At 38.1% G+C, this 22334-nt stretch overlaps 1 protein-coding gene across 1 annotated transcript in view, besides 3 other annotated features; it reads left to right on the top strand.

Annotated features, from left to right (window-relative positions):
• The window catches only part of SULT1B1 (sulfotransferase family 1B member 1), a 39454-nt gene that overhangs the window by 9162 nt on the left and 7958 nt on the right, over window positions 1-22334 (top strand). Inside the window, exons 4-7 of the mRNA NM_014465.4 lie at window positions 1641-1738; window positions 17195-17321; window positions 17952-18046; window positions 20778-20958. Coding sequence (NP_055280.2) covers window positions 1641-1738; window positions 17195-17321; window positions 17952-18046; window positions 20778-20958 — 501 coding nt within the window. The remainder of the gene's footprint in view (window positions 1-1640; window positions 1739-17194; window positions 17322-17951; window positions 18047-20777; window positions 20959-22334) is intronic.
• Window positions 6923-7422: an enhancer, noted in NCBI's record as "H3K4me1 hESC enhancer chr4:70609755-70610254 (GRCh37/hg19 assembly coordinates)". NCBI's record gives its function as "activates a minimal SCP1, AML or CMV promoter by ChIP-STARR-seq in primed H9 embryonic stem cells {active_cell/tissue: H9 hESC(primed)}" and the evidence as "EXISTENCE:reporter gene assay evidence [ECO:0000049][PMID:30033119]".
• Window positions 7423-7924: an enhancer, noted in NCBI's record as "H3K4me1 hESC enhancer chr4:70609253-70609754 (GRCh37/hg19 assembly coordinates)". NCBI's record gives its function as "activates a minimal SCP1, AML or CMV promoter by ChIP-STARR-seq in primed H9 embryonic stem cells {active_cell/tissue: H9 hESC(primed)}" and the evidence as "EXISTENCE:reporter gene assay evidence [ECO:0000049][PMID:30033119]".
• Window positions 8127-8626: an enhancer, noted in NCBI's record as "H3K4me1 hESC enhancer chr4:70608551-70609050 (GRCh37/hg19 assembly coordinates)". NCBI's record gives its function as "activates a minimal SCP1, AML or CMV promoter by ChIP-STARR-seq in primed H9 embryonic stem cells {active_cell/tissue: H9 hESC(primed)}" and the evidence as "EXISTENCE:reporter gene assay evidence [ECO:0000049][PMID:30033119]".

Raw genomic sequence — 22334 nt, 5'->3', positions numbered from 1 at the left:
CAAACAAACTCCAGAGCCTGAATGTGGATAATTTTGTTGTCTTTATACATTGCTAACACTCATACTTGTGGATATAAAGGGTTCATTAAAAGACTCACTTGGCAAAATGATTGCAAAATAGGGGAAATTGAGAAATCTTTCAGGGAAGCTGAATGCGGAACAAGGAACAACAGATGTGAGAAAAACTTCTTAAAAGAAACAGACATAAGTTCATCTAATGGACATTAAGTAATAACGAGTTGTGGAGGATTACAATTTCTCATTTTTATATGCTGGGTAAAGTGACTGTAGCTGCTAGATCAGTAGAGGCATAGTAAAATCCCTGATGGAGTTGTATAGTAATTTATGTTTACAGTCATTTATATTGGCAAATAAAATACAGGACAATTAATTAATTTCAAATTCAGATAAATAACCATTTTATTAAGTATGTAAGTACTTTCCAAATGTTGTAAGGGAAATATTCTTGCTAAAAACAACCTATTTATCTGATAATTCAAATTTAACTTGGATTTTCACATTTTTTAATTTCCTGTATGCCAAACCTGTGTCTACTGACATTAAATAGGCTTCTTCATATTAACCATGTGCTAGTCACGGTTCTCGATGGACATTTATTTATGAACAAAACAAGTTACATCTCTGTTCTTATGAAATCTCCATTTTAGTCTAAGTTTAGGAGTGAGGTTGGGGAAGGGACATGGGGACATACAGTAAGCAAACAAATAAGTAAATAAACTATGAAGTCAAAATGTGTTTCATAGAACATTAAGAGAAAAATGTAATAGGCTGAATGACTTCTTAGCATATGCAGTGAATTACTGTGAACATTTAAAACAAAGCATTGTTTTCAATGAGTGAGTCAGATGCAATTTTGTGTGGGTTTGCCTTTCTATTCAGAGATGGCAAGATTATGTAAGATTATCAGGTATTCTAGAGTTTAGACTGTATATAAGTAATACTGTGGAACATAAAAGAATGCATAAGAAGTTTATGTATCATCTATCTTAAGACCTTAATTTGAAATCAAGTTCTACCACATATTTGTTGTATGACTTTAGAGAGTTAAGCTAATATCTAAAGATTACACATTTTTACTGTCTATACATATATGGAGAGACATATGACACATATAGGATATAATGAAAATATAGATAAAACAGCTGATATTATATACAAAGTTAACATCATCTATGCTACAGTACCTAATACAACACGATAGCCAGTTTTAGACTTACTAGTTATTGATACCTCTTTGGCATGAAGAAAACATTTAAATAGTCATTTATAGCAATGCACAGGTATAATAAAACTCCAAATTATTAAAGAGGGTATTATTATCTCTCCTTTTGGAGATGGAGAAAGTGAAGTACAGAGATTCTGAGATACTTTCAAAGTGTCTCACAATGCTTAAGTGATAGAGTTAGCATTTGAACTCAGGGTGGCTAACCTCAGAATGTGTATCCTTGAATGTTACACAATACTGACTCTAGTAATGTGGTGAAATGCCTGTGATTGTTTCAGAATTTATCTGCATTACATAATGCTCAAAAATGTCTTGAAAAACTGGTTGGCAAAATAAGGAAACGTAGCCTTTCTGGAGACTCTAATATTTCCCTATACTTAACTAAATTTCTCAGGTATAGAACAATTGGAGAAGAATCCATCACCCCGGATTGTGAAAACACATCTACCGACTGATCTTCTTCCTAAATCTTTCTGGGAAAACAATTGCAAGGTATACTCCAGACTCCATGTCAGTTTTTTAGTATGGCCCTATCCCTTTACCCACTCACATAGTTTATTTTTTAAAATATTTTTTGTTTCTTTAACCATATACTTGCAACAATCTATACTATACCCACTCACGTTGTACGTAAATCTTCAAAAGCCATTAAGTTTTAGTCTGAGTTTATATACTCAAGTTTTCCAAACTTGAGCAGCAACAGAATCCAAACCTCAGCACAATATTACTACTTTTTTTTCCAACTCTCCCTAGATCTTCAGGCCTTCTGTAAAAACTGAACTTAAGGACGTTAGTCCTTATTTGAAGATTTGGTATAATTCTTTGTTGTAACATTTGTTCCTGCTTATCTGCTTTTGGGGAAATTTTATACTTCAAATTCTATTTATTTAATAGCTACAGTGCTATGTAGATTATGTGTTTTTTTCTTATCTGACTTTTGACAATTTGTGATGTGTGAGAAACTTTTCTAAGTTGTTGACTTTATGAATGAAAAGTTGTTAATATTATACTCATTATTATTTTAACGGCTGCAGGATTTGTTCTGATACCCTGTTTTGTTCCTGATCTCAGTTATTTGTGCCTTCTCCTTCTTTTTTGTCCCTCTTAAGTATATTAATTTTATTGATATTATTAAAGCTAGTTTTTCGTTTTATCAATTATTTCTGTTGTTTATCTGTTTTTAGTATCATAGATTTCTGCTTTTTTTCTCTATCGTTTCTCTCCATCTACTTACTTTGGATTTATTTTACTCTTCTTTTTCTAATCTCTTTAAGTAGGAACTGATATTATTGATTTGTTTCTTTCCTATTTTCTAAAATAAGCCTTTAGTGTTGTAAATATGTTTCCTCAGTAAAGCTTTAGTTGCATCCCACACATTTTGATATGTCATGCTTTCAATTGCACTCAATGCTATGCACATTTTTATTTTATCTGAAATTTCCTCATTTACTGCAAGATTTTGAAGTGTATGATTTAACTTCTAAGTGTTTGAGGATTTTTATGTTTTCATTCTGTTATTGATTTCTAATTTTATTCCGTTTTAGTCAAAGATCATACTCTACATAATTGCAATTCTTTTAAATTTCTTATGGTTCATCTTGTTCTATCTTGTTAAATGTTTTCTGAGCTCTTGAGCAGGTTGCATATTCTTCTTTGTAGGTGGATGTATTCCCTATATTTTTATTACATCCTCTTGACCAATAATGTTGTTCAGTTCTTTTATATCCTTTCTTGTTTTATGTCTAGCAGTTCTATCAATTGCCTGACAGTGGATTGTAAACATGCTCAACTATGACTAATGATGTGTCTATTCTTACTTCAGCTTTACTGGTTTTCATTTCATGTATTTTGAAGTTCTGCTGTTTGCTGTTTGGAATTCAGAATTGCTTTATCTTCTTAACAGATTAGTCCTTTTGTCATTATGTAATGTGCCTTGTAATTTTTTTTCCACTGACGTCTATCTTGTCTTGTATTGATATAGCCACTCCTAGTTTTTACTGATTAATGTTTGCATTACATATATTTTTTGCTACCCTTTTACTCTCAACGTATCATTGTCATTTTGTTTGAAGTGTGTCTTTTGAACAGCATACAGCTAAGTTCTGTTTTCATACACTCTGCCAATTTTTGTCTTTAGATTCATGTGTGTATATTATATACATTTAAAGTAGTTATGGGATAGAGCCAAGATGGTTGACTAGATGAATTCTGGAAGAGCTTCTCCCCCTGAAAAAGACCAGAATATCAAGCAGGCTGGCATACTCCAAAAAAATCTTTGGATAAAAGGCATTAAGGGTGAATAGAGGGAGAATGCAGACCCTGGAGCTAAAAGGGGAGGAAGCTAGGAATCCTGCATAGGTTTGCTGAGCACCATGACTCATTCCTGGCCCCGCACAGCTCCTAGAGAAGGAGTGAGTGAAACAGACATGGAACAGCCCACTCTTACCATGGACCTCCAGGATCCTAGCTGCAGGAGACTCCTTGATGCCCAGAGACATTTTAGCTGGCAGGGAGAACTTCCCAGAGAATTGGCAGAGACAGTACTCTACGCTGTGTGGAGTCCAGAGGGTTTGGTGCAGGAATAGCTGCAGTGGAACATGGCCATAGATGCCCATCCCCCAAGGCTCTCCATATTTCTTTAGGTGGCTTTAGCTTTTGCTAGCTCCCAGGTCTGGAGAAAGCAGGCCTGTTTTGCACATAGGCCTGGGCCAGTCTGATCTGACCATTCCTCTCTGTGCTGGCTTCTACTAGGGCCCCTGCATAGCCACACTGGCTTAGTGCACAGCCTCAGCTGCCCTGCCGAAGCACTTGCCAGCAGCCGCTGTCATAGTTCTTCAGCCAGCAGCCCCTAACTTCCAGTTTTTTGCCCAGTTTTTTGCTTTTGCATATGGATCCCTACTGGTGCAGATTCACTTTCAGTCTTCTCCCACCAGTGCTCAGTAACCTGCAGCCTACCCCTGCTACCCTGTGATCAAGTGTTTGCCCGTGACTGCTCCATCGCTACATAAGTGCCTCTGGCTCCCTGCTTCCATGTTGGATTACACTCTCCCATGTCATCTCCAATGCTCCGCTGAAGCACTTTTGCCAGCATCCCTGATTGGAATGTTGTTGCCAGTAGATTGGGAACACATCAGCACCTCTGGTAGAGCAGGTGCTTGACCTCAAGGGGCCAGAGAACAAAGCAAAGGTTCTCGCTCTAGCCCCGTAGAGACAGAGCACATAGCCCTGGAGTGCTGAATTAAGCCTTGGTCCCCTAAAAGCATCCAAAAAGGAAAACAATCTAATAAACCCAAATTTACACTACAGTCAAAACCTCAAGGGCAACAAAGAATATAAAAGCAAAAAGCACCATCCAAAGAAAAGGAATTTTAAAGATTAAAGAAACATTAGCTGCCACAGATGAGAAAGAAACAGCTCAAGAATTCTGGCAACTCTAAAAGCCAGAGTGTCTTTTTGCCTGCAAATGACCTAACTAGCTTGCCAGCAATGGTTGTTAGCCAGATTGAAATTGTTGAAATGACAGACATAAAATTCAGAACCTAGATGTCAAGGAAACTCAATGAAATATAGAAAAAGGTTGAAACCCAATCCAAGGAATACAGTAAAACTGATAAAGAGCAGAAAGAAAACATAGACACGTTGAGAAAGAACAAAACTGAACTTCTGGAAATAAAAAATGCACTAAAGGAACTTCATAATACAATGGGAAACATTAATAATAGAATAGACCAAGCTGAGAAAAGAATATCAGAGATGGAAGACTGTTCCTTTGAATCAACACAGGCAGACAAAAATTTTAAAAAGGATATAAAAAATGAACAAAACCTCCAAGAAATATGGGATTATATAGACACCAAACCTGTGACTCACTGGAATTTCTAAAAGAGATAGAGAGAGGCAATTAACTTGGAAAACATATCTGAGGATATTGTCAATAAAAATTTTCTCAACCTTGATGGAGAAGTCAACATGCAAATTCAGAAAATTCAGAGAACCCCAAAAAGATATTACATAAGACAACAATTCCCAAAATATAGAGTGAAAGAGGATCGCCGAGGTCAATGTGAAATAAGAAACCTTAAAGACAGCTAGCGAAAGGGGCAGGTCATGTACAAAGGAAACCTCACCAGGCTAGCAGTGGACTATTCAGCAGAAATCTTACAAGTTGGAAGAGATTGAGGGCCCATATTCTGTATTCCTAAAGAAAGGAAATTCCAACCAAGAATGTCATATCCAGTCAAACTGCTTCATAAGTGATGAACAAATGAAATCCTTTACAGAAAAGGAAATACTAAAGGAATTCATTCTCATCAGACTTGCCTTCCTAGAGGTCCTTAAGGGAGTGCTAAACATGGAAGCAAAAGACATACCAACTACCACAAAAACATACCTAAATACACAGAACATTAACACTATAAATCAATTACATAATCAAGTCTACATAATAACCATCTGACAGCACAATTACAGGATCAAATCTTCACATATGAATTTTGATCTGGAATACAAATGGGCTAAATGAGCAACTTAAAAGGCACAGACTGGCAAGTTGGATAAAGAAGCAAGACCCAACTCTGCTGCCTTCAAACTTCAAGAGACTCATCTCACATGCAACAACACCCATAGTCTCAAAGTAAAGGGATGGAGAAATATATATCAAGCAAATAGAGAACAACAACAACAACAAAGCAGGAGTTGCTATTTTTTTCAGACAAAAGAGACTTTAAACCAACAATCAAAAGGACAAAGAATAATATTATACAATGATAAAAGATTCAATTCAACAAGAAGGTGTAACTGTTCTAAATACATATGCATCCAACTTTAGAGCATCTAAATTCATAAAACTGGTTCTTATAGACCTACAAAGATACTTACATAACCACATAATATTAGTGAAAGACTTCAACACCACACTGACAGTGTCAGATCATCAAGGCAAGACACTCAGGACTTAAACTCAACACTTGACTAAATGTACCTAACAGACATCTACCCAACAACAAAATATACATTCTTCTCATCTGCAGATGGCACATATTGTATGATTGACCACATGCTTTACTCAGCCATAAAGCAATTCTCAATAAATACAAGAAAACCAAAATCATACCAACCATACTCTCGGGCCACAGCATAATAGAAATATAAATTAATGCCAAAAAGCCCTATCAAAACCCTACAATTACACAGAAGTTAAATGACCTGCCCCTGAAACAATGTAAATAATGAAATTAAGGCAGAAAATTTTAAAAAAGTCTTTGAAACAAATGAAAACAGAGATACAAAGACACAACATATCAGAATCTTTGAGACATAGCTAAAGCAGTACTAAGAAGGTTTATAGTGCTAAATACCTACATCAAGAAGTTAGAAAGGTCTCACATTAACAACCTAACATTGCACCTCAAGGAACCAGGAAAATAAGAGCAAACCAATATCAAAAGTAGCAGAAGAAAAGAAATAACGAAAATCAGAGCAGAACTGAATGAAACTGAGATGTGAAAATCCAGACAAAAAAATCAACAAAAACAAAAGTTTGTTTTTTGAAAGAATAAATAAGATATACCACTAGCTAGATTCACAAAGAAAAAAAGAGAGAAGATCCAAATAAACACAAGCAAGAATAACCACCAACACCACAAAAATACAAGGAACCTGCAGAGACTGCTAGGAACACCTTTATAGTCCAGAGTGGCTGCTGCCATCACATCGGCTGCAGTGGGGAGACATGGGTGGTGGTGGCAGGAGCGGCTGCAGGAACAGCAAAGGCGGCAGTGGGACCCCTGTGCCCCATGACCCCATAGCAGCCTACTGCACCACCCTTACCTTTGCATGGCCGGGCAGGACCCACTTCCAGGTCCAGAGCCTCCACTGTGTCGGGTTCCTTTGTACAAAGTTGGCCAGGGCCGCTGCGCCTCCGCTGAGGGGAAACACAGAGAGGAGACAGTCAGTCCCTAGAGTCCACCCCTGGCACTCCCCCGAGAGCCTGCTGCCCTGGTATCACCCTGCTACCGCAATGAGGCCGCACCCAGTCACCCGCCAATGGGGGAGCAGCGTGGTTAGACATGGAGGGAAGGGCATAGAGGGGTTCCAAGGCAGAGCTGGGCCCAGGGTAGTGCCCTGCTCCACGAAGCCAGCGGAAGCAGGGAGCAGGCAGGAGCCCCACCCTCCTGGGCACAGTTACAGCAGCGCAAGTAATGGCTATGGACCCAGGGCTCCCTGTGCTTTTGGGGGCCAGGAGCAGGCAGGAGCACTGCCTTCCTGGGAACATCTGCAGCCACCCATGCGCAGCTGTTGACCCAGGCATTTCTGCAATCTAGGAGGCCAAGGAAGGCCCCCACCTTGTTCCCACAGGCTCAGAGGTGTCTGCTCCCACTATCTGGCCACTACCCGCTCGCGGAACACACTCCAATCTCGGATCATGGTTGACACCAAGCCCGGGTGCTGTCATAGCCCAGTTGGATGTGTGCACACTTGGGACAGCTCTGACACACCAGCCCCCTGGGTCCCCTCTGGACTTTGGGCACCCAGAACACAGGAGGAAAGCCGAGGGACTGCTGAGGGCAGGTCGAAGCTGGCCTGCAGGCAACCCTTGGCAGTAACAGCCTTGGTGCTATGAAGTGTGGTAGGTGGTAGACAGGCTCCTGGGCAGAAGGGGGTGGGTCCCGGGTGAAGCCCCACCTTCAAGCTGGGGAGGGCCTGAAGCCTGGGAGCTGGGCTGCTGGTCCTGTGGACCAGAATGGGAACTTGTGGTGCTTTTTCTGGGCCCACCCATGGCTGCCCATGGACCAATGGGACTGCACTTCTTCCCCTCTGAGGCCCATAAAACGTCCTAGACTCAGACCAGAAGAGATGACGGGAGGACCAGCTACAGAGAGAAGCTACTCACTCCAGGGTGCCCTCTTTGCTGAGGGCTAAACACTCATCCAGAAACCCTGACTACCATGCTCAATAAAGCTCCTCTTCATCTTGCTCACCCTCTATTTGTTTGTATACCTCAGTCTTCCTGAATGCAGGACAAGAACTTGAGACCCGCTGCATGGCAGAACTGAAAGGGCTGTAACACAAACAGGCCTGAAACACACACCTTGCTCACCACCTTGTGTGTGACAAGAAAGACAGAAGAGAGAAAGAGAGAAGACCTGTGGCCCTTCAAGGAGCCCAAACCTAGGAGCTCCCTGAGCCAGGGTTGTGACACCCTCTTTAGGGCTCTGTGGTTCCTGGTGTCTCCAAGCTTCTGGGTGCCACTGTGTTCCTCGGTATCAGCTGTGGAAGTTGTTTATGGTGTGCCTGGTCCAGCTGCAGCCTTGCAGAGAGCTGAGGCCATGAGGCTGGGGCCATGCTGGTGCCTGGAGCTGCCCACCGCACCGCAGCTGGCAGGCCGGGCTCTGCGCAATGGCCAGACTACAGGCTTGCTCACACACCCATTGCTGCTCCACACATGGCTCACCCTCGGCAGGCATGAGATCCAGGCTGGTAGCATGAGCCAAGTGCAGCCTGCAAGGCTGAGTGATCGGAGCAAGCCCAGAGGGCCAGAGCAAACCTTGGACAAAGGCGCCACTGGCCACAGAGGTTTCCGGCTGGTGAAGCAAAACCCCAAGGATCTCATAACACTAGGATTGAAACCCCCATAAATTTAAATCATGAACAGACCAGTAGCCAGTCCTGAAAATGAATTAGTAATAACAAACCTACTAATCTATCAAACCCCTGGGCCAGACAGATTCACAGCTGAATTCTATCAGATGTACAAAAAAAGAACTAATACCAATCCTACTAAAATTATTTCAAAAAGTCAAGGAAGAAGGACTCCTCACAACTCATTCTATGAGGACATCATCATTCTCATACCAAAACCTGGAAGAGGCACAACAAAAAAGAAAACTTCAGGACAATATTCCTCATTGACATAGATGCTAAAATCCTCAACAAAATACTAGCAAACTGAATCCAGGAGTACATCAAAAATCTAATCCATCATAATCAAGTATGCTTTATTCCCAGAATGCAAAGTTAGCTCAATACATGCAAATTAATAGGTGTGATTCATACAGAAAGTACTAAAAACAAAAACCACAAAATCATTTCAACAAATTAGAAAAAGGCTTTTGATAAAACTTCACATCCCTTCATATTAAAAACCTTCAGTAAACTAGGTATTGAAGGACCATACCTCAAAATAATAAGAGCAGTCTATGACAAACCAACACACTGAACAGGAAAAAGTTAAAAGCATTCCCCATGAGAACTGGAACAAAACAAGGATGCCCACTTTCATCACTCTTTCTCAACATAGTACAGGAAGATCTAGCTGAAGCAATCAGACAAAAGAAAGAAATAAAAGGCATGCAAATAGAAAGAGAGGAAGTCACATTATTTCTCTTCATAGTCAATATGATTTTTTAGCTAGAAAACTCCACAGTTTCTGCCCAAAAGCACCTAAAACTGTTAAGCAACTTCAGCAAACTTTCAGGATACCAAATCAGTGTATAAAAATCAGTAGCATTTATATATGCCAATAACGTCCAACTTGAGAGCCAAATCAAAACGTAATCTCATTCACAATAGTCACAAAAAAATAAAATACTAGGAATATAGCTAATCAAAGAGGTAAAAGATCTCTACAATGAGAATTACAAAACATGGCTAAAACAAACCAGAAATGACAAAAACTAATGGAAGAACATTTCATGCCCATGTATAGGAAGAACCAATATTGTTAAGATGACCATACTGCCCAAAGGAATTTACAGATTCAATGTTATTCCTATCAAATTACTAATTACATTCTTCACACAACTAGAAAAAAAGCTATTTTAAAATTCATATGGAACAAAAAAAGAACCCAAATAGCTAAGGAAACCGTAAGCAAAAAGAACAAAGCCAGTGGCATCACAATATCCAACTTTATACTACAAGGCTGCAGTAACCAACACAGCATGGTACTGGTACAAAAACAGACACATATACCAATGGAACAGGTTAGAGAGCCTAGAAATAAAGATGCACACCTACCTACAACCTGCTGATCTTCAACAAAGTTGACAATAATAAGCAATGAAGAAATAACTCTATTCAATCAATGATGCTGTGATAAATGACTAGTAGGATGAAGAAAATTGAAACTGGAGCCCTTATTACCATATACAAAAAATTAACTGAAGATTGATTAAAGACTTGAATGTATTACCAAAAACTATAAAAACCCAGAAGAAAACTTAGAAAATATCATTCTCGATATAGGCTTTGAAAAAGGTTTCATGATTAAGACTCTAAAGGCAATTGCAACAAAAACCAGAATGTTGAAGAGGGACCTAATTAAATTAAATAGTTTCTGCATAGAAAATGCGAGAAAATATTTACAAACTATACATCTGACAAAGATCTAATATACAGAATTATAAAGAACTTAAATCAATGAGCAGAAAACAACCCAATTAAAAACTGGCAAAAGACATGAACAGCACTTTTCAAAATAAGGCAATTAAAACAGAATTACCATGAATCCCAGCAATCCTATTACTGAGTAGTTACCTGAAGGCATATAAATTGTTCTACCAAGAAGACACATGTATTTGTATGTTCATCATAGCACTAGTCACAGTAGCAAAGGAATCAACCTAGATGCCTAATATGGTTTTGTTCTGTGTCTCTACCCAAATCTCACCTTGAATTGTAATAATCCTCATGTGACAAGGGCAGGACCAGGTGGAGGTAATTGAATCATTGGGTTGGTTTCTCTGTGCTGTTATCATGATAGTGAGTGAGTTCTCACAAGACCTGATAGTTTTATAAGTACCTGGCATTTCCCTTGCTAAAACTCCCTCTGTCCTGCCACCCTATAAAGAAGATACCTGCTTCTCCTTTGCCTTCCACCATGATTGTAAGTTTCCTGGGGCCTTGCAAGCAATAGGAAACTGTGAGTCAACTAAACTTCTTTCCTTTATAAATAATCCATTCTCAGGCAGTTCTTTATAGCAGTGTGAGAATGAACTAATACAGTAAATTGGTACTGAGGTAGTGGGGCACTACTATTAAACATACCAGAAAATCTGGAAGTGACTTTGGAACTGGGTAATGGGCTGAGGTTGGAACAGTTTGAAGGACTCAGAAGACGACAGGAAAATGTGGGAAAGTTTGGAACTTCCTAGAGACTTGGAGGGCTCAGAACACTGGAAGATGTGGAAAAGTTTGGAACTTCCTAGAAAATTATTGAATGGTTTTGACCAAACTGCTGATAGTGATATGTACAATGAAGTCCAGGCTGAGGTGGTCTTAGATGGAGAAGAGGAACTTGTTGGGAACTGGAGTAAAGGTCACTCTTGCTATGCTTTATCAAAGAGACTGGCAGCATTTTGCCTCTGCCCTAGATATCAGTAGAACTTTGAAATTTCTAAGTGGCAAAGCATTCAACAGAAAGCAGAGCATAAAAGTTGGAAAATTTGCAGCCTGATGATGCAGTAGAAAAGAAAAACCTATTTTCTGGGGAGAAATTCAAGCCAGTTGACTGCAGAAATTTGCATAAGTAACAAGAAGCCAAATGCTAATCACCTAGACAATGTGGTAAAGGTCTCCAAGGCATGTCAGAGACCTTTGCAGTAGCCTCTCCCATCACAGGCCCAGAGGCCTAGGAAGAAAAAATGGTTTCACAGGCCAGACCCAGGGCCCTCCTGCTATGTGCAGTCTAGGGACTTGGTGACCTGTGTCCCAGACCTTCCAACTGTGGCTAAAAGGGGCCAATGTACAGCTTGGGCTGTGTGGATTCTGAGGGTGCAAGCCCCAAGCTTTGGCAGCTTCCACATGGTGTTGAGCTTGTGGGTGCACTGAAGTCAAGAATTGATGTTTGGGAACCTCTGCCTAGATTTCAAAGCATATGTGGAAACACCTGGATCTCCAGGCAGAGGTGTGCTTCATGGGCGGAGCTCTCATGGAGAACCTCTGGTAGGGCAGTGCAGAAGGGAAATGTGGGATTGGAGCCCCCACACAGAGTCCCTACTGGGGCATCACCTAGTGGAGCTGTGAGAAGAGGGCCACCATCCCCCAGACCCTAGAATAGTGGATCCACTGAGAGTTGCACTTTGCACTTGGAAAAGCTGTACACACTCAACACCAGCTGTGAAAGCAGCCAGGAGAGGGGCTGTACCTTGCAAAGTCATAGGGGTGGAGCTGACCAAGGTCGTGGGAGTCTACCTCTTACATCAGCCTAATCTGGATGTGAGCCATGGAGTCAAAGGAGATCATTTTGGAACTTTAAGGTTTATTGACTGCCCCATTGGATTTGTCTTGAATGGAGCCTCTAGCCCCTTTTGTTTCAACCATTTTTTTCCCATTTGGAATGGGTGTCTATACCCAATGCCTGTACTCCCACTGTATCTAGTAAGTAATAACTGACTTTCAATTTTACATGCTCACAGGCAGAAGGGACTTGCCTTATTTCAGATGAGACTTTGGACTTGGACTTTTGGGTTAATGCTGGATTAAGTTAAGACTTTGGGGGACTGTTGGAAGCACATAATTGTGTTTTGAAATGTGAGGACATGAGATATGGGAGGGACCATGGAAGAATGATATGGCTTAGCTCTGTGTTCCTACCCAAATCTCATCTTCAATTGTAATAATCCCCATGTGTCATGGGAGGGAACAGGTGGAGGTAATTGGATCATGAGGGCAGTTTCCCCCATGATGTTCTCATGATAGTGAGTGAGTTCTCAGAAGACCTGATGGTTTTATAAGTGTCTGGTGTTTCCCCTGCTTGGACTCACTCCATCCTGTCACCCTGTGAAGAAGGTACCTGCTTCTCTTTTGCTTCTGCCATGATTGTAAGTTTCCTGAGGCTTCTCCAGCAATGCAGAACTGTGAGTCAGTTAATCCTCTTTCCTTTATAAATTATCTAGTCTCACACAGTTCTTTATAGCAGAGTGAAAACTTATTAATACAATACTCATTAATGGTGGAGCACATAAAGAAAATGTGGTGTGTATACACCACGGAATACTACACAGCCATAAGGAAAAGGAAATCATGTTTTCTGCAGCAACATGGATGCAGCTGGAGGCCATTATTCTAAGCAAATTAATTTAGGAGCAGAAAATCAAATACCATATATTCTCACTTATGCATGGAAGGTAAACCTTGAGTATACGTGGACACAAAGATGGGAGCAATAGACACCAGGGTATAATTGAGGGTGAAGGGTGGTAGGAGGGTACAAGTCAAAAAACTGCCTATCAGGTAATATGCTCACTACCTGGGTGACGAAATCATTTGTACACAAAACCCCAGTGACACACAAATATGCAACAAATCTGCACATGCGCCCACTGGACCTAAAAGTTAAAAATTATAAATAAATAAAGACATTATTGGCATTTTAGGACTTATATTTATCACGTTATTTGTTTGTTCTTTCATATCTCGTTTATTTTCTTTTTCTTCCTTTCCTTGGTTGTACCTAAACATTTTGGAGTTCATTTTTATTTATTTATAATATTTTTGAATATATTTTTGTATAGTTTTCTTAGTGATTGCTTTAGCTATTGCCATAAATATACATAATTCATCACAGTCTAATGGTGTCAACATTTTCTCACTTTAAGTGAAGTGTAAATACCTTACTTCCATTTAGGCCCCTTTACTATCTCCGTATTTTCAACATAATGGTCCCAAGTGATCCTGTACATAAACTGAACACCGCATCAGATAATGTAACTTTTGCCTCAATTGTAAAATATGACTTAAGAAATGCATTGGGTGAGTGATTAGCTACTATGTTTACTTCTATTTTTACCCATTCTCTTTTTCTTTTTCTTTTCTAAAGTTTTCATCTTTCTACTGTCATTTTCTTTCTGTTTGGAGAACTTCCCTTAGCTATTTCATAAGATAGGTCTGCTAGCAATTGATTCTCTTAGTTTTCCTTTTTCTGAGAATGTCTTTTTTCCCTTCTTGAGTGAGAACAGTTTTACTGGATACAGGATTTGGAATTGACAATATATTACTTTCTGCACTTGAAAAACTATTGTGCTATTTCCCTTTGGCCTTCATGGTTTTAGATGAGAAACTTGTCATTTGAATTGGTGATTTTTATTATGCAATGTGCTGTATATCTGGCTTTTTTTTCTAAGAGTTTTATTCATCTTTAAATTTTAGAAGTACTTTTATGATGTTTCTTGACATAGTTTTTTTTTTCCTTTTTTTGAGTTCACACAACTTCTTAGATATATTGATTTATTTATTTCAACACTTATGGGAAGTTTTTGGTCACCAATTCTCCAAATACTGTTTCAGTTCCTTACTCTTCCACCTATCATTGTGTAACTCTAAACATACAAATGTTAGGCCTTTTGTTATTGTCCCACAGGTTCCTAAGTTTCTCTTTATTGTCTTTATTCTATTTTCTCTGTGTTGTTAACATTGAGTAAATTCTATTGATATACCTTTATGTTTGCTGATTCTGTCCTCTAACACTGCCATTACACTATTCGGTCCATCTAGTGATTTATTTATTTATTTCAGTTATTATACATTGCAGATCTATAATTTCCATATATTTAACTTTACAAATATAACTCCAATTTCTTTTCTATTTTTTCATTTATTTTAAATTTTTTTTCAATTTTTAACTTTTGTGGGTATACCATATGTATATATATATTTGTGTGAATAGGAGCCTCATAACTCAGACTGGTACCTTATCCCACTGTCGCTGAGCTGGTATCCAAGATGTAAGACGAAGTCCTCTTTGCTCTTCCCTCTCCTCTGCTCAAGTGGAAAGTAGGGATCTCTTTTGAATCCACCAACTGTGCAGCCTGGAGTCTGGGGAAGGGTGGCACAAGCAGTCCCTTAGTCTTGTATGTCTCAGTGTGTCTTGTACCCTCCAAGTCCACTGGCTCTGAGGCCATCTCAGCACTAGAACATGTCTAGAAGTATGTGGTTTAGACTGTCTTTCAAGTTTATTTACAGGTGCAGAGCACTTTAGCCTATGGTGGTGAGGCTTGCTGGAACTCATATTTCTACCACTGGGACGTGTGATTCCCCTCTAGATAGGATTGGTCTATATGCTTCCTTCATGGAAGGCTGTCAGCTGAGTTCAGTCTAGTTTTGCTTTCCACTGTGACAGGGCAGCACTGAGTTCAATGCAATGTCTCATAATTGCTGTGCTCTCCCTCTCCCAAGTGCACAGATTCTCACCATGCCACACGGCTGCTACTAAGGGTTGGGGGAGGCATGGAAATAGCAATTCTAAGACTGTCTTTCCTATCATCTTCAGTGGCTGTTTTAGTGATATGAAGTTAAAACTAGGTACTGTGAGTGCTCACCTGATTTTTGGTTCTCATGAAGGTACTTTCTGTGTGTAGGTAGTTGGCAAATTTGATATTCCTTTTGAGGTGTGGGGGATGATTGGTCCACCCTCCAAGACAACTTGTAATGGAATGTTGACGCTTTTTTATGATAGCTACTTTAAATCTTTGTCAGATAACTTAACATTTGATTCATCTCAGTTTTGTTTTTCTTGCTTATTTGATTTCTGGGGCTGCTGGACATACTGTACCATCCCTGCTGATGCCACATAAAAGGAGTATAAGGTACTTTCCTGGACTTCCCACTCTTGTTAGCTGACTTTTTGAAAATTGGAGAGAAGCCTTCGGGCCTGGGAGAAACAGGGCTTCTCTGATGTCATCACTGTGAATGGGTGGGACTGCTTATAAAGCCCCGTTTATATCGCAGGAGTTTGAATGTCCCAGTACTTCATTGCCATTACTGGCAGTGAGTTAGCTCACCTACAGAGACCCGGGTGTGGAGCAGAGTTTGGAATTCTCCACTATGTCTCTGTTGGGCTTCCTCTTTCCTAATCCTTTGACCAGGGAGAGCAGGTTTTTCTAGATATTTTTTTGTTTCGTGTATGCCTGTAAATGGTTCCAGGTCACAGTCCTTTTTGCTGCCCAATCCAAGAGTATATAGGAGATAAAAAGGACACCTAGGAGGAACTCACCACATTGGCATTACTCAGCTCTTTGTCCAGTATGCTTTTGGAGTTCTTGTATCATTGTAAGTTGAATAATTTCCAGGGCTTTAGTGACATTAAGAATACAAAAGGCCGGGCACGATGGTTCATGCCTGTAATCCCAGCACTTTGGGAGGCCGAGGAGGGCGGATCATGAGCTCAGGAGATCGAGACCATCCTGGCTAACATGGTGAAACCCCGTCTCTACTAAAAATACAAAAAATTAGCCAGGCGTGGTGGCGGGCGCCTGTAGTCACAGCTACTCCGGAGGCTGAGGCAGGAGGATGGCCTGAACCTGGGAGGCGGAGCTTGCAGTGAGCTGAGATCGCACCACTGCACTCCAGCCTGGGCGACAGGGCGTCTCAAAAAAAAAAAAAAAAGAGTAGCGAAGTAGAAAATAGTGAGTCTATACCTTCTAGTTTCTGAACTGGATGCCCCCAAACTTATTTTAATGCCTTTTAATATCTTTACCTTCTTTTCCTTTCTATATATTTTTATCAGCACCTAATATTTTTCTCGGTATTTCACTGGTAGAAGTGAAAAGTGAAAACTTTTATTTTTTTCCCACAATTTTGTTATTTTCAATTTGCTGGTATTCTCTTTAGTCACAGTGTCATTTTCTTGATAATGTGTGTTCTAGGACCTTGCAGATCTTCCAGAAGCCACAGTGGTCTATTAATGCTTCACAGTGTCAAGTGGCCAGAAACTGAAATCTTTTTTTCAAAACGTCTATAGCTCGATGGTTCTAATCTCAAAAATGCATTGCTGTATTGAAAATCACTTGAATTGATTCTATATTTTAGCTGTTAATAGAAGGGCCTCCCTGGCCCACAATTTCTATTTGAAAAAGTACTCTGCTTTTTTACATGCGTATAGGTTAATTTTTTCCTAAACAAAATGTCTTTTATCTTATTTTTTTCTCCTACCCCCACCCCCCACTGCAGATGATTTATCTGGCTCGTAATGCCAAGGATGTTTCAGTCTCATATTACCATTTTGACTTAATGAATAATTTACAGCCTTTTCCTGGTACCTGGGAAGAATATCTGGAGAAATTCTTAACTGGAAAAGGTATGTGGACTTTATCTTAAAATTGATAAGTATTTTTTATTTTAATAATACTATTAACAATAACTTTTATGACTTTCAAAATACTTATTTTTCCAATCTAGTGAAAAGTATGTTCAAATATTATCTAAAAAACTAAATCTAATGCATCTAATATTTTTACTATGACCTTCAATTTATAAAACTAGTATTAATCATTGGCATACAAAAGTATTCTATAATCTGTTCTCAGTTGCTAGAAGTCCATTATCAGTCTCTCCTCACAATAGACATTGTTTAACTTGCTTAAGCAATTAGTTAGATCTGTTAATGCATATGTCATATTTATAGTACTTAGGTAAATAGTTGATATGAGTACTTTGTAAGATAATAGTTTTCTTCTTTATGAGACTAAGTATAACTTTTTGGAGGTCAGTGTATTTTTGTCTGAAATGCTTTCTTTGTACTTGACATTAAAAAATATCTGATGTTTATATATCCATAAATAGCTAATTTTACTTTTTAAGATTGTCCTCATATTCTTACTTCCTTTGGTTACTAAATTCAAAATGTTTTCACAATTTGATTTACTATTCAGACAGAAATATTTAATTTGATGAATGTTTATGAAAATAGACTTTTATCTGGTTTTAGTGGCCTATGGTTCCTGGTTTACTCATGTTAAAAACTGGTGGAAGAAAAAGGAAGAACACCCAATACTTTTTTTGTACTATGAAGATATGAAAGAGGTAAAATGGTAGATATGGATTCTGGATAATTTCCCCACTGCATCATGCTGTAAAAGGGTTGATATTTGCTTTCCAACTTAGTCTATCGAGTCCAAAATGATGATTGCTTTGCCTATCCACCATGTGTTTTTACCCAAATCTTGCTATAATTAATGAGTTTCTAATTGTGAAAAGAATTATTTATTTTTATTCCTCTTATTTCTTAGCCACTGCGTTATATCTGACCACTCTTTCTTCTGCAATTATTTCCTATATTTACCAGGATATCACATGCTTACAGTTATCCTTAGATATCTACTCATTAATATTTTAACATTGTTTTTAAAAATTGTTTGCTATATTCGAGTTACCCCTTCCACGCTTATTGTTTTCACAACTATTTATGTGCTAATCATCCCTTATCTGTGCCTGCATTTTCACTTCTACCTCGATTTTCTAGCCCATGCTTGTATTAAATTTAACATGCTCAAAACTAAACTTATTTTCTTTCTCTCCAACATGTAATATTTTTACTATTTTGTTCTCTTTCAACAATAAAAGTTATTCTTACTGTCTTTGTTTCCTATATTTTGCACATTCAATTGGTTCAGATAGTGTATCTATTGTATCTTTCAAAACATTCCCTCCTTTACTTCCTTACTATCTCACTGTTAGTGTAGAAACTTGTAATCATCTATCTAGTATGAAGTAGTATTAATTAAATACAACTACAAATTTTCATGCCACATTATGGAACTCTTCTACTTAAATTGCCAAATACACACAGACATACACACAACAGGTAAACATGTTGAAATTAGTTCCTTACTTATAAAAGCCTGAACATACAAGTTAGAATACTTTCAGATCTACAATGAAAATTACGAAGTTTGTCTTCTTTGTAACTACATCCCAGTACTTAATACAGTGCATACAACATAAACAGGGGCTCAAGATTACTTGCATGGATCACTGATTGTTTCAATAAATAAATGAGTGAGTGGTAATATCCAAAACTTTAATGGCATTAATCCTACTTTATATAACACAGAAATTTGGCCCCATGTGAAATATTACTTGCTTTAGGTAGTTTTGGGAAACTCCCAGGGGTTTCTCGTATCTTAGCACAAAGAATCCTCTGAGATTTTATTCACTGCCCAAGTATTCATTCTCCATCACAGTTGTCCACATCCCATAAAGAATCTGTGATCTATGTCTTATCATTGTCCCTTTACACAGGGTTTGAGAGTATTAATGTTAATTTGCTCATACCACACAGCTGCAAAACCTTGCATGGTTTATGAAACTACTGTAACAAAGTGATATGTCTCTTGAGAGTTTGTTTAGCCGGAGGTAAGTTATAAATTCCTCATAAGAGAGAAAATTATTCCAGCTCTCTAACAAATAACTCTCTTCATGTTTTGGACAGCAGAGCACCACTTAAAAGCTTTATGAAAAGAACAATTTTAGCTTCTGGCAATAGTCCCTTTTCTCCATAAGACTAAGAAATACATTCTCTCTGTTTGGCTGTTATTCAAATTCCAAATCAACCATTACACTGTTTCCCACATAACATTTGAGACCATTTCTGTCTTTATTTAGCTAAAATGCTTTATTCAAATAAACTTACTCATTTTGATTTATAGTCTAACCGGTTACCTTTTTAAGCATATCCATATATTTACAATTTCCTTCAAACTTGCAACATACATTGCATTAACAGACAATATTTTTCTTCTACCATACAATCATTTGTAGATAATATTATAGAGAAGTTTAATGCAACAACAATAATGGAAGAAAATTATAGAATATACATCAATAATAAAATTTGAAAAAAAGTCCAGTAATTTACAACATGTTTATGAGTATCTACATGCATTCCTAATAAGTGAGGTAAAAGAATAACAGATCAGAGGAAGATTCAGCCAGAGCCAGGACTCTGCTTTAACTTCTACTGGTCTATAGACTAACACAGATGTTCCCAGCATTTTTGGCACCAGGGACGGGATTTGTGGAAGACAATTTTTCCATGAACAGGGTGCAAGGGGGCTGTATATGGATGGTTTCCAGATGAAACTGTTTCATCAGATCATTGGGCATTAGTTAGATTCTCATAAGGAGTGTGCAACTTAGATCCCTCACATACTCAATTCACAATAAGGTTCATGCTCCTATGAGAATCTAATGGCACCACTGATCTAACAGGAGGCAGAGCTCAGGCAGTAGTGCTTGCTCTTCCACCACTCACATCTTCCTGTGTGGCCCAGTTCCTAACAGGCCACTGATTGGTACTGATCTGAAGCCAGTGGGTTGGCGATCCCTGGACTACTATCATCATTAATATTTTAGGATTAGCCAAATTATTCTCCAAATATTTTTGACCCCAAAAAGAAAATGTTCTCTATTTGCCTGTCCATCTATATGTTTTCCTAGCACAACTACTATCTTTAATTTTGGGCTTCTCTCTACTATCATCATGTCTGCTCGTTTACTCATTCTAACCACTGACACACCTTAAGTTCTGATCTTATTCTTCTGTCAGAGAGGACTGACACAGAAAATATAACAGATATTCTTGATTTTTAATATTTTATGATTAGTTTATTTAAAAATTGAGAAAAACCCAAACAAATATGGATTTCCTATACTATTCAGAGTCAACATTTAAAAAAACGGATTATAAATGTTTTATAAATATTCACATTGTGTGAGTTACTTGTTTATTGTCTTGGGTTTTACCCACTAATAGAATCCAAAGGAGGAAATCAAGAAGATCATTAGATTTCTAGAGAAGAACCTGAATGATGAGATCTTGGATAGGATCATCCATCACACCTCATTTGAAGTGATGAAGGACAATCCTTTGGTAAATTATACACATCTACCAACTACAGTGATGGATCATAGCAAATCCCCTTTTATGCGTAAAGGTAAATACTTTGCTGGGTTTAATTTCCCTTTCGTACTTTCTTATGAATTATCATGAGCTAAGGATTAGTTCTGTGATCTCTACTAAGTTTCTTAGCCTGTTTAAGCTTTATAGCAAATACCTACCACCAAAAGTTGCTGAGATTCAAAATTATTAAATGAAACAATGCATGTAAAGCTATTACTAGAATACCTTGAATATATGATAAATATTTATTCTTCTATTTACTACTGTGCTAAATGAGAGTGGTTTTGGCAACTCTGATGTGAGCAATTCCAAATTTGTCATTCTTACTCCCTTCAATCTTTGTCTAAGATGGCATAGATAAGCTTCCTTCCTTCTGCTCCTCAGTGAAATACTAATTTCACTTAGTACAGTACCATAGTCTTTAAAGTCCCCATATCACTTAGAAAACCATGGTAATTGTATTAAAAATAATTCACCAAAAGGAGAAACTGCTATTTGACCTTATAAGAAGTTTTAGCCCTCTGCAAATACTGTCTAAACTATTAGTAACATAGAGTCTAAATTTAACTTAGAAGAATATGGCATTTACTGTTGAAATACATTACTTCCATTTAAGTAGTCTGTTTATTGTGGCTTATTACACATAATATATGTCAAAAATGTGTTAATAATAACAATACATTTAACCAATTACTAACTTAAATAACTTTGAGAAGTTATCCACTTAATAATGCCACGATCTGTTTTCAATATCTTTGATTGAATTGGAGGGAGATGGGTAGAATTTCAATTTGTATGCTAGGAAGTGAGCATAGCCTTAGGAATGTATTATGCATATTAACAGATGAAACAAAACCGCCAATTTTGAGTAATATGATTAATTTTTTGAAAAGTTGTTTGTTAACTTATTAAGGTAGCAAATAGTCCTAGTGTTTTCAAATTGTGCTCTTTCTTTTCTAAAAACAATATATTTAACCTATTAAAAATAACTTCTAGAGTAAGAAAGCAGGTATATTTTTCATCAAAAATTGTATGCATTATAAGTTTGAGCAAAGAAGACTGATGTGTATATATCTTATCTGTATGCTTATACACAGATGTAAATGTATGTGTATGGACAGTCATCCCTTGCTATATGTGGGGGATTGGTTCCAGGAACTCTGCCTCTGAATATACTAGAACCTGCCTATATGAAAATTGGCACTCAAAACATGTGGGTGGGTTTCTCATCATGCAAATACTGTATTTTTTATTGCTTTTAGTTGGAAAAAAACTGCATATAAGTGAACCTGGCCAGCGCAAGTCTGTATTGTTCAAGGGTCAGTTGTGTACATGTACATATATATTCTTTTTCCTGGTAGAAGAATCAGAAAATAAATCTTTATTAAACAAGGCAAATTCTCATTGTGA

The sequence above is a fragment of the Homo sapiens genome, chromosome 4 (assembly GCF_000001405.40).
Source record: "Homo sapiens chromosome 4, GRCh38.p14 Primary Assembly".
Classification (NCBI taxonomy): domain Eukaryota; kingdom Metazoa; phylum Chordata; class Mammalia; order Primates; family Hominidae; genus Homo; species Homo sapiens.
This window is presented reverse-complemented; position numbering and strand designations above follow the sequence as displayed.